Here is a 13,183-nt window from a genome sequence, read left to right as displayed (position 1 = left end):
GTCTCTCTTTGCATTGAGAGATGCAAGGAAGTCAATGGATGGGTAGGTGGGCAGTTTTGGGCAACAAATACAATCTTGGGTGGGGACTTGAGCTAAGTCTTTAAAGCCCTGTCCTAAGATTTCAATAGTTTCTCATTCAGTCTCTCCTCTTAACTAAAATTTAAGTATCACTTTACAGACAAAATATATTTAAAAGATAATGTCTGTGCCTCACTCATCCCTCCCTGGGTCTTATCACTGTAGTGTAGTGTAGTGTAGACTTCCAACTACCCCGGGATCTTTTTGTTGCACGTTGGAAGATCTGATAAACAAGATAATCTTCCCTGCCTCCATGGACAGCCCATGATGGGAGGCTGCCTTGAGTCAGTACAAATGTCCCAGCCCCTCTGTCCTCATGGGAGCTAACTCCAAAGAGTGTGTTCTATGCCCAGAAGTGATGCAGGGCAGGTGAGCCCCAAATTGGAGCTTATCCTGGGAGAATTCTTGGCTTCTCCCAGCAAAGAATTTGAGGGCGAGCCGGTGGTGTTGGACAGCAACTTTTCTTGAAGCGGCTGTGTGCAGCAGCAGGGGGACTGCTCCTCGCAGAGCGGAGCCACCCCACAGGCTGTGTGCCTGGAGGAGCAGCTCAGGACAGTTCTGCAGCCACGTTTATCCCACCTGTAATTATATGCAAATTAAAGGACATCTCTATGCAGACATCTCTAGGATGAGGGTGGTAACTTCAGGGTCATCAGATCATTGCCATGGAAAGGGACTGTAACGTCCCAGTGTTGCCATGGCAACAGTAAACTGACGCGGCTCACTAGTGGGCGTGTCTTATGGAAAGCTACATCTGCGCAGTTCCTGTTTCAGACAGTCCTCAGTTTGTTCTGGCGTCCTAGTCCCGCTTCTGGAGTCAGGTTGCACCTCCTGCCTCAGAAGGATCAAGTTCCAGTTGCCCACATTGGTAATTAGCTTGATAATCCATCCTTTACTGTTACCTCCTGCAATCCTCTTATTCATTATGATGACTATTTTTTGAGAGAGGGTCTAGCTGTCACCCAGGCTGGAGTGCAGTGGCATGACTGTAGCTCACTGTGGCCTTGACCTTTCCAGGCTCAAGTGATCCACCCACTTCAGCCTCTCAAGCAGCTGGGACTACAGCTGCATGCCACCACACAGGGCTATTTTTTTTTTAATTTTCTGTCCAGATGGAATCTCACTATGTTGCCCAGGCTTGTCTCCAACTCCTGGGCTTAAGTGATCTGCCACTTCAGCCTCTCAAAGTGCTGGGAGTACAGGCGTGAGCCATCACACCCAGCCTTTCTATTCACTTTTTTTTTTTTTTTAAGAGACAGGGTCTCACTCTGTTTCCCAGGCTGGAGTTCAGTGGCACAATCATAGCTCTTGGCACAAACTCTTGTGCTCAAGCAGTCCTTCCACCTCGATCTCCCATGTAGCTGGGACTACAGGTGTGCACCACCACCTGGCTAATTTTTTTAGAATTTTTTTTTTGTAGAGATGGGGTCTTTCTATGTTGTCCAGGATGGTCTCGAATTCTTGGCTCAAGCAATCCTCCCACCTCAGCCTCCCAAAGCTTTGGGATTACAGGCATGAGCCACTGCACCTGGCCCCATCTCACTCTTCTATTCCCTTACCTGTGTTTCCTGGGATCACCTTCCAGATACTTTTTTTTTTTTTTCTGAGACAGAGTCTTGCTCTGTTGCTCAGGCTGGGGTACAGTGGTGCGATCTCAGCTCACTGCAACCTCTGCCTCCTGGGTTCTGAGATTACAGGCGCCTGCCACCACACCCAGCTAATTTTTGTATTTTTAGTAGAGGCAGGATTTCACCATTTTGGTAAGGCTCGTCTTGAACTCCTGACCTCAAGCAATCCACCTGCCTTGGCCTCCCGAAGTGCTGGGATTACAGGTGTGAGCCATTGCGCCTGGGCCCAGATACATTTTTTATTCATGAATTTTTGTTTCAGGATCTGTTTCTTAGAGAATGAGAGAGAAAAATGGCATCAGGAGTCATGGAGCCTCCAGGCTGGGTCTTGCTCTGGTGAGAAAGCACAGGACCGGGGTGGATTTCTGAAATCCAGGCAGTGCTCCGCACCAGGCGCGTAACAGACAGGTCTCCATGGAAAATAGTTCAAATGTTGGGCTTAAGGTTCAGCAAATTACATACAAAGTCTTCTTAAGGCCCCTTATGGAATTTGCTTTATGAGACGGGAAGATCTTTGCTCTGAAGGAGTGAACCGTGTGACTCCAGTCACCTTGCTGAGGGGATGTACTCCTCACGATTTATGGGACCTGATCTGTTTTTCATGGCATCAGGGCAGAGGAGCCATAAGGGGAAGTCCTGTGTGCTGACAGACCAAGCACACCCACTGGTGAGGCTCAGCCAAGTGCTTAACTTTAACCACTGATTAAATTTCCTTCTGTCACCTGCTCGTTGAGGCTCTGCTCTGTGCATTGCACTGTGTGGATCATAGAGGAGAAAAGGGAGATGAGACAAAGGACCAGCCCTGCAAGGGCTTATCATTTTCTGGAGTCTGAGAAAATTCTGGGAGCAAAATGCTTAACTGGAAGTCAGAAAACTTGAGATCTTGTACCTTGTCTTTTGCTGCATGATTTTAAGAAAGTTACTCCCCCTCTCTGAGTCATAAATTTCCATATGAAAAAGGAGGTGAGAGGATAGATGAACTCTAATTTCTCTCCCAACTCTGATTTCCTAGTCTTATATTTTGAAGGAACATTTAACTTTGTTCCTGAAGTTTTGGTAATTTGAGTCTGTAAGATAAATGTAATGCACAGATTACCAGGGGAAAAAGGTGTAAACATTTTATTAGCATTCATATGGGCTTGGGAGTCATACAAAATATAAAGACTCAAACAAATGTCAAGATGGTTGATGCTTTTAGCCCTCTTGAATATACAGAAAATAGGGGCTTGGATCATGGCAAAAAGGATACGGGAGAGAGAGAAGAGGAGAAGAGGCCTGGTTAGCAGAGGCAGTCTTGGTACACAGCTGGAGCCTCTCAGGTGGCAGCCCTCAAAGGGGGTGGGTGGCAGCTTCTGGTAAATGTTTCTCTGCAAGACCTTTAAAGGTGTCAGCCTCTCAGTTAATCTTTCCTGGACCTTGACAAGGAGGACTTCGGAGAAAGCCTTTCACATCTGTTGTTTACTTCCCTTTATTTCCTCTGCAGGTGCAAATCTGCCCCACAAAAGACAGCTTTGCAGGGCTCCTTGTGTTTGCAGGCCCTCTGAACAGCCAGCTCAGAATATGCCTAAGACACATATTTTGGGGTGAAGTATTTTGGTTTTGTGATATCACATAATTCAAACTTAAAATAATTTAAACTTAAAGTTATTGGAATTTTACCTTATTCTGAGCCTTGTGAGGAACATGGCTATGCAGCAGAGTCACGTGGAATGCAGCTGCGGCTTCCGCTTTTTTCTGCTCGTAAATAATTATAACCCAACAGTGTCAAGACCCCCTTAGGTCACTAACCCTCTTCCTGGAGTGGAGTCATCTTCCTTGGAATGGAACAATATGTGACTGATCAGTTTGCTCCAGCTCTGCCCTGTTATCCTGTGGAAAGTGTCCTGATCTCACCGATGTTTCTGTCTCTGGCTTTAGAAGTGAAACAAACACCAGCTCTCCCTATTCATTTGGGGTCGGCGTCTCCCAGACGGGCATCCTCAAGCTGTGTGCCCAAATAAACTCCACCCTTAATCATATCTTCTGAACTTCATTCTTTAAGGTTGGCAGTTGCCTTTAATCTCTTAGCAACATTTTGTATATTCTGGATTCTAGAGATGAGGCCTCAACATAAAGTTTAAAAGGTAGTAAAAAAAGCTTTTATATTTGTATTCTATGACACAGTCACTGAGGTAACATATTTAAGGTTTATATGATTTTAAATATAGGTACCCTAATATTAAATATTATCATCATTCACAGATAAGTTGATCAAAATCTGTTGATGGGTATTTAGATTTTTCTAATTGTTTTACTATTACTTCACTGCAATAAACATCCAATTGGATATATATTTAATTAATTAGTTAAGTAATTAATTTGTTTATTTTAGAGATGGGGTCTTGCTATGTTGCCCAGCTTGATTCACACTCCTGGGCTCAAGCAATCCTCCAACCTCAGCCTCCTCTGAGGAGCTGGGGCTATGGGTGCTCACCACCATGCCTGGGCTTTTTTTTTTTCTTTTTTTTTTTTTTTTTTTTTTTGAGACATAATCTCACTCTGTAGCCCAGGCTGGAGTGCAGTGGCGCAATCTCGGCTCACTGCAACCTCCGCCCCCCAGGTTCAAGTGATTCTCCTGCCTCAGCCTCCCGAATAGCTGGGATTACAAGTGGGTGCCACCAGGCCGGGCTAATTTTTGTCGTTTTCGTAGAGATGAGGTTTCACCATATTGGCCAGGCTGGTCTCCAACTACTGACCTCAAGTGATCTGCCCACCTCGGCTTCCCAAAGTGCTGAGATTACAGGCACCCACCATCAAGCCCAGCTAATTTTTGTATTTTTAGTAGAGATAGTGTTTCACCTTATTAGCCAGGCTGGTCTCAAACTCCTGACCCCAGGTGATCTGCCTGCCTCGGCCTCCCAAAGTGCTGGGATTACAGGCGTGAGCCACTGTGGCTGGCCAGCCTGGCATATTTTTGCACTTGGTGTTTCTACGGGGTGAAATAGCTATAGATGGGAATGCTAGGCCAAAGGATAAACTTTAAAATATTAACAGATCCAGCCAAATTGCTGTTCAGGGATGCCTTTAGTGAGAAAGAAACAAAAAAACAAAACAAAACAAAAAACCATTTTATGTGAGAAATGTGAGCCCCTTTAAATGTTTAGACCCAGAGAGGAATTTAAAATGCAACAGCCATCACCCCTGGAGCTAAGTAATTATCTCTTGAAGCCACTTCCTCTATGGGCTCTAAACTAACTGACACCCCATAGCCATAAAATGCCCTAGGAGGACACCTTAACTCATACCCTATAGGTCAACAATGTAGAGTCAATCTCTAATTAATGTTATCTCTCTAAACCAGTGAGAACTCCTGTCAAACAACTTTGTACCAGCCCACCCCCTGTTCCCCTTGACTTCAAAAACCTTGTGAAAGAGGCAGACCAAACACTCCCCAAGGCACCTGGGAAGTGTGTCCCGGGCAGGTGTCCTCACGTTGGCTCCAGTAAATTCTTTAAATACTATTTTGGGGCGGGGTGCTGTGACCCACGCCCATAATCCCAGCATTTTGGGAGGCCAAGGTGTGTGAATCACCTGAGGTAAGGGACTTGAGACCAGCCTGTCCAACCTGGTGAAACCCCATCTCTACTAAAAATACAAAAATCAGCCTGGTGTGGTGGCAGGTGCCTGTAATCCCAGCTACTCGGGAGGCTGAGGCAGGAGAATCGCTTGAACCCAGGAGGTGGAGGTTGCAGTGAACCAAGATCACGCCATTGCACTCCAGCCTAGGCGACAAGAGTGAAATTCCATCTCATATAAATAAATATTATTTTGCACCCCAGCTTCTTCCTTTCAGGTTGACTTTAGTTACCATATCTTTGTTTACAATGACAGATTTAAAGAAGGTAAAACATAATCTGATATATGAAACATAGCATTGGATTGTGTTTTAATTTTATATCTTCCAATGTGCGTGCCATTCACCATAATTTTTGGTTTTGGCTATTTTATTCTCTCTTCTGTTAATGCCTTTTGTTTTTGATTTGCAAACACGTTTGTGTAGTAAGGCTTCTATGCGTCTGTAAATATTTTACAGCTCTCTCTTTTTTTAATTTTGATTTTTGCTATTCAGAAATTTAAAATTTATAACATAATCAAATTTGTCAGCATTTTTCTTCCTCATTTTTAGTTTTGATGTGAAAACTAATGTCTTTTTTTCTCAGACAATAAATACACTCCCTTATGTTTTTTTCTAGTGCTTTTATGGTTTCTTTTTTGTATTTAAATCTTTCATCATTTAGAAAGTTTATTTTGGAAAAAATAAATAATTCCAGCAGATTTTTTTTTGAAATGTATCAACTTTTGAAGTTTACATTTTATTATCACATCATGCCACTTCTTGGCTCAAAACTCTCTCATGGCTTTATCTCAATTAAAGTGAAAGCCACCTGGCGCAATGGCTCATGCTTGTAATTCCAGCACCTTGGGAGGCTGAGTGGGGCGGATTGCCTGAGCTCAGGAGTTGGAGACCACCCTGGGCAACATGGTGAAACCCTGTCTCTACTACAATACAAAAAAATTAGCCGAGTGTGGTGGCGCACACCTGTAGTCCCAGCTACTGGGGAGGCTGAGGCCTGAGAATTGCTGGAGTCCAGGAGGTGGAGATTGCAGTGAGCTGAGATTGCACCACTGCACTTTGGCTTGGGATACAGGGTGAGACTCTGTCTTAAAAAAATAGTAATAATAAAGTGAAAGCCAATATCCCTGTCATGGCCTGTAAGCTCCTGCCTATCTGGCCCCCACTCTTCTGTTCCCCTTACTCCCTCTAGCCACCTGGCCTCCTTGACATTCCTCAAACACACCAAGCATACTGCCACCCTACCTAAGACCTTAGCACTGCCTTGGATTCTTTCCCTGCAGTTATTGACATAACTTGTTAGCTCATCACCTCCACTGGGTCTTTGCTCACACATCATCCTCTCATTGGAGCCTTCTCCAACCACCTTATATGAAATTTCAACCCTCCCTTCTTTCAGCTCCTCAGACTCCTCAGTCCTCTTTCCTGCGGTATCATTCCCCATCACAGCTGCCACCATCTGACATTTTATGCATTCCAATTATTTATGTGTTTATTGTCTGTCACCCTCCGTTAAAATACAGGCTCCAAGAAGGCAGGAATTTTGTTTTTTTTACTGCTATATCTTTAGCGCCATGTTAGAATAGGACCTGGCACAGAGAATATATTTAATACATATGTGTCATATCTTTATGGTGGCTGTAAATTAATCATATAACTTTTATGAATTCCATTATTTGGTTATATCCTTATTTATTTAACTGGCTTATTTATTTATTTTTAAATTGACAGACAATAATTGTATTTTTTATGTGGTACAATGTGATGTTTGGATACATCGTGTAAAGATTAAAACAAGCTAATCAACATATCCATCACCTCAACAACTTATCATATTTCCTGTAGAGAGAATGTCACAAATCTATTCTTTTTGCGATTTTAAAATATACATGATTGGCCAGGCACAGTGGCTCACGCTTGTAATCCCAGCAACTTGGGAGGACGAGGCAGGCAGATCCTTTGAGCTCAGGAGTTCAAGACCAGCATGGGCAACATGGTGAAACCCACTCTGTACAAAAAATAAAAAAATTAAGTTGGTAGAGCATGTGCCTGTAGCCCCAGCTACTTGTGAGGGCTCAAGTGGAAGGATCACTTGAGCCTGGGAGGTTGAGGCTACAGTGAGCCATGTTTATGCCACTGCACTCCAGCCTGGGTGACAAAGTGAGACCCTGTCTCAAAAAATATATATCTGTATATATACATTAGTCTTAACTGTGGTCATTGTGCAGTGCAGTAGATGACAAACACTTATGCCTGCAGTGTAACTGAAACTTTGTACCCTTTGATCGACATCTCCCCTTTCCCCTTTGATCGACATCTCCCCTTTCCCCTTCCTTCTCCCTTCTCCCAGCCTTGGTAACCACGTTTCTACCTGCTGTTTCTATGAGATTGACTTTCTTTGATTCAATATATGAGTGCAGTAATACAGTATTTGTCTTTCTGTGCTTGGCTTACTTCACTTATGTCCTCCTTCTGTATAACAAAGAAACAATCTACAGAGTAAAGAGACAATCCATGAGTTGGAAGAAAATATTTTTCAATTATACATCTGATAAGGGGCTATTGTCAAAAATATGTAAGAAATTCAAATAATAGCAAGAAAACACATAAGTTGCTGAAAGAATGGACGAATGAAATGAACAGGCATTTCTCAAGAGAAAGCACACAAATAGCCAACAAATGTATGAAAAAATGCTCAACCCCTCTAACCATCACATAATGAAAATGAAAACCTCAGTGAGAGATTTACAACTTGTGCTGTAACCTCAACACCTGTTAGAATGGCTATGATTCAGATGATGAAAGGTAAGTGCTGGCCAGGAAGTGGAGATAAAGAAACACTGACATACCATTGGTGGGAATGTCAATTATTACGGCCATTTTGGACAATAGTATGAAGTTTCCTCAAAAAATTAACAATATAATTGAGCCAGCAATATACTGTGTTCGTCTGTTTCACATTGGTATAAAGAAATACCTGAGGCTCATGGCTAGGCAGGCTGTGCAAGCAGGGCACCAGCATCTGCTTCTGCTCAGAACCTCAGGAAGCTTTCAGTCATGGCAGAGGGAAAGGGGAGCTGGGTGTCACATGGTGGGAGATGGAGCAGCGTGGGAGGCGCCACACTCTTTTACACAACCAGGTCATGTGAACTAATAGAGCCAGAACTCATGCATTACTGTGGGGAGGGCCCCAAGCTGTTCATGAGGGATTCGCCCCAAACATCTCCCACCAGCCCCCACCTCCAACATTGGGGATCACATTTCAACATGAGATTTGGAGAAGACAAATATCCACACTGTATCTCCCACTCCTGAGTACATATCCAAATGAATTGAAATGGATATGCCTGAGAGATATCTGCACTGCCTTTTTCATTTCAACGTTATTCAAAATAGTCAATGTATGGAATCAACCTAAGTGTCCAACAGTGGATGAATGTATAAACAAAATGTGGCATATACACACAATGGAATACTATACAGCCTTAAAAAGAAGGAAATTATGTCATTTGTGATGATGCAGATGAACCTAGGGAGATACATATTAGGTTTTCTAAATTACTAACCTGATGGCCCAACTGTATTAACAACAATGCAGTTTTCCTCAGTGAATTGAAATGCCGCTTATACTATATACTAAATGACCAGCTCTGATTGCCTATTTCTGCACTCCATATTTTGCCAGTTTGACTATAATGTGTCTGGGTTTGGCCCATTTTGAATTTATTCTATTAGGAGTTTTTTGAATTTCACAGTGCTTAATGATTTCCACCAAATATGGGAGGTTTTTGACCATTCTTTTTGCAAAGCTATTTTAGCTTCTTTCTCTTGTCTCCTCTCCTCCTGTGACTCATGTTTATTTGGCTTGCACGATGGTGCCCTACAGGTCTCTGAAGCTCTGTTCATGTTTCATAGTTCTTTTTTCTCTTTCTTGACTGAACAATCTCAATTAATGCATCTTCAAGTTTTCTGATTCTTTTTTTTAAACTAAAATCTGCTGTTTGATCTCCATTGATTTTTTTAAAAAATATTGTTTCTTTCACCTTCAGAGTTTCCATTAGTGTTTTAAGTATTGTATATCTCTTTATTAATATTCTCCATTTGGTGTTCATTGTTTTCATACTTTACATACTTGTAAAAGCCGATTACAGTCTTTCTAGTAAAGACAACATCTGGGGTCCCTCAAACAGTTTCTGATGACTGTGTGCATGTGTGTGTATGTGTGTGTGCATGTGTGTGCATGTGTGTGCACGTGTGTGTGCATGTGTGTATGCATGTGTGCGTGTGTGTGTGTGTATCATACTTTCTTGTTTCTTAGCATCTTTCAGAAGTTTTTGTTAAAAATTGGACATTTAAAATAATATAACTTGAAAGCTTTGGAAACGAGTCACTCCCTCTCCCTAGGATCTGTTGTTGCTATTTGCTGTTTAGTGACTTTTCTGGACTAACTTTGTGAGGTCCTTGTTTCTTGTAAAATACAGTGAAACCATTGACATCTATGCTTGGTTGGCTCAGTGGTCAGCAAATGATTGAACAAATCCCTTGGATGTCTTGAACCAGTGAGCCTTCCACACCTTGCCGAGGGCTCTCTCTCTCTCTCTCTCTGTGTCCAGTGAGCCTTCTACACCTCACTGAGAGCTTTCTCTCTGTGTTTGGGTGTGATGACTCCAGTGAGCCTTCCACACCTTGCCAAGAGCTTTGTCTGTTTTGGGATGTGATGACTCCAGTGGGCCTTGTATACCTCGCTGAGGGCTCTCTCTCTCTCTCTCTCTGTGTCCAGTGAGCCTTCTACACCTCACTGAGAGCTTTCTCTCTGTGTTTGGGTGTGATGACTCCAGTGAGCCTTCCACACCTTGCCAAGAGCTTTGTCTGTTTTGGGATGTGATGACTCCAGTGGGCCTTGTATACCTCGCTGAGGGCTCTCACTCTCTGTGTTGGGGTGGGATGCCTCCAGTGAGCCTTCTGCACCTTGCCAAAGGTGCTCTCCCTCTATGTTGGGGTGTCGTGCCTCTAGTGAGCCTTCTACACCTTGCCGAGGGCTCTCTCTCTGTCTTTCTGTGTCAGGGTGTGATGTCTCCAGTGAGTGTTCTACACTTTGCCAAGGGCTCGCTCTCCTCTGTGATGGGGTGTGATGCCTCCAATGAGCCTTATACACCTCACCGAGGGCTCTCTCTGTCTCTGTGTTGGGGTGTGATATCTCCAGTGAGCCTTCTTCACCTTGCTGAGGGCTCTCTCTCTCTCTGTGTTGGGGTCTGATGCTTCCGGTGAGCCTTCTACACCTCACCGAGAGCTCTCTGTCTCTGTGTTGGGGTGTGATGCCTCCAGTGAGCCTTCTACACCTCACCAAGGGCTCTCTCTCCTCTGTGTTGGGTATGATGTCTCCAGTGAGTCTTCTACACCTCGCCGAGGGTTCTCTCTCCTCTGTGTTGGGTGTGATGTCTCCAGTGAATCTTCTACACCTTTCTGAGGGCTCTCTCTGTGTCAGGGTTTGATGCCTCCAGCACTCTGGCAGTTTAGAGCTCAGCTTCAGCCTTTGCTGCCTGTTGGTGCAGGAACTTGAGGTCCGCCAGAAGTGAGAGATTGGGGCTTCTCAGGTCTTTTCCTGGGTGGGCCAGAGCCTTGCTCATGCCCACGACCTGTGGGGTCACAGGAATATCTCAGAGTGTTTGAAGTCCCCTGTAAACATCTCTTTTTCAAGACTTCCTGTTACGTTTTCTGCACAGTCTTTTACATGCTGCAACTGCTATCACTTTCTCAGGCAGCTGTGAGGTTAAACAACTGTCACTTACCATTTTCCACACCCACCCTGGCTGAAGACTTTCCCTGAGGAGTTTCTGGATCAGGTGAGATGATAACAAGACCTGTGCATGGGGCTTTTCCAAGGTGCTGCCCAACAGATGAAATAGGGTCAGTTCTCTGGGGTTGGGGCTTTTTGCAGCTCCCTAAACTGGGACTCTCCAGTTGCTACAAGACTGCTGGTTTTGGGAACAAACATGGTTGTGGGGTTTCTGGTTTTGAAGGCTGCTGCGGGCCAGGGAGGGGTGATATGGGACAAGTCAGAACCACAAAGCTCACCGACCTACCAAGACTCACCTGCTGTTCTTGAATAAACATGGCTCACATTTTTGCAGGTCTTCAGTTAATTTTTAGAGTTCTGGAAGAGTTATTTTGGTATTTTTTCCCAGTGTTCTCATTGCTTTTAAGAAGGAATTGAGTTTTAGAGGTCTTTGAGATTTTGGATGTGTCACTCTGTATTCTATTTTTAAATTTAAAAAATTCTGTTATCTCTGTATAAATTATTTTAGTTTACAGTGTATTATATATAATAATAATAGAATCATCCTGCCATTTATCTTCTTATTAATAATATATTTTTGAATGTAGTTTTTACTATTATTGTTCATTTGTTTTTCAAAGTTAATTTTGGAATACTGCCTTCATATTCTGAAAATAAATCTTTTGATATTTGATTAAGACCCTTAAAAGGATGGATTCATATGGGAAGAATTACAGTCTCTGGGGTTTTGATTAAATATTCAGTTTCAGGAACATTAGTATGGCTCTCCATTTATTCAAGTCTTCTTTTCTGCTCTTTAGTACTTTTTTTTTGCTTATTTTACAAATGTCCCACATACTTATTTATGAGTTTATTTCAGTTATAAATGGGCTACTACTTGGTTATGTCTTCAGTAGTCTAAAGCCATTTTTCAGAATTCATTTAGTTCTTCAGGGGCCATATGAGTGAGTTAAATGAATATATAATAGGGACCATTACCCTTGCATTCCTAAGACCTTTAAGGGTGGCACTAATCCCACCTCCCCACCTACCCTTAGAATATGGTATTGTTTCAGACTCATTAGTTTGGCCAGTGATGCAGCTTCCACGTGGTCTTCCCCATTACAGCTTCTCCTCCAAATGCCAAGAACCCAATATGGGGACCGACTCAGGGGCTGCATGCACTCTGGGGTAGGCAGTCTCGGAGGAGACCTCCACAGCACTCTCAGCATCTGGGACAGAAAGCTTCCTGCTAAGTAAGGGGGTCTTGGTGGTGTATCTTTCTGTTTATTGCATAATTTGATCTCATTTATTTAAAATGTTTATGCATGTATCTGCATATAAAAATAAGTACACATACATTTCCAAAAGCTTACAATAAAATACTATAACCAAATATCTTCAAAATGCATTCAGAACTCTTTTTCCTAAGCTTAGAAATATAGCCTTGAAGTGTGCTTTGAAATTCATGTTCCTCTCTCTTTCCCACCAGACACTCCCTTGTCCCATGCATGCTTATCTAACTGCATGGTTACTTAACACTCCCAGAGGCTCATCTTAAACCAGGCATGGGCCCCTGTTATGAAATCCTCCCACTTAGGGGGAGTCATGAACAATGTGTTCACCACCACTAGGGCTGCAGTCAAGATAATGACGACCAGACCTCCAGACGCCCAAGACAGCCCTCAGAACGAGACATGCAGGCCCTTACCCAGCAGGACCCCACATGTTTCTCATACTAAGTTTCCCTTCTTACACCCTTCACCCAGCCTGCAATTGAAGATGGTTTCTTCATGACTTGAGCCCTGACATCTCCCCAGCTGCTGGCATTTGGAATAAAAGTTACTTCCCTCTCCCCATACCTCACCTCTTGTATTCAGCATGACAGGTGGTGAGCAGCTTGGCCTGAGTTTACTGCAACATCATGTTCTAAAACCTATCAGTTGAGGGGGGATTATTTTGTCTATGAAACTATCTCTGTCTCTATCTTATTTTGGGTTCCTGCAGAAGCAGACTCAGATTCGAGGACATGTGATTCTATCTTCTTGTAGACAAATTCAGGAAGCACAAGTGAGGGAGTGGGGAAAT

At 43.3% G+C, this 13,183-nt stretch overlaps 1 annotated feature.

The window, feature by feature from the left end:
• Positions 5,998–6,234: a silencer, noted in NCBI's record as "fragment chr19:28881947-28882183 (GRCh37/hg19 assembly coordinates)". NCBI's record gives its function as "represses an EF-1alpha promoter that drives an FKBP-Casp9 reporter gene in an ReSE screen in K562 erythroleukemia cells {active_cell/tissue: K562}" and the evidence as "EXISTENCE:reporter gene assay evidence [ECO:0000049][PMID:32094911]".

This window comes from Homo sapiens, chromosome 19 (assembly GCF_000001405.40).
Source record: "Homo sapiens chromosome 19, GRCh38.p14 Primary Assembly".
Classification (NCBI taxonomy): Eukaryota; Metazoa; Chordata; class Mammalia; order Primates; family Hominidae; genus Homo; species Homo sapiens.
Note: the sequence above shows the minus strand (reverse complement) of the source record. Positions and strands in the feature narration are given on the sequence as shown.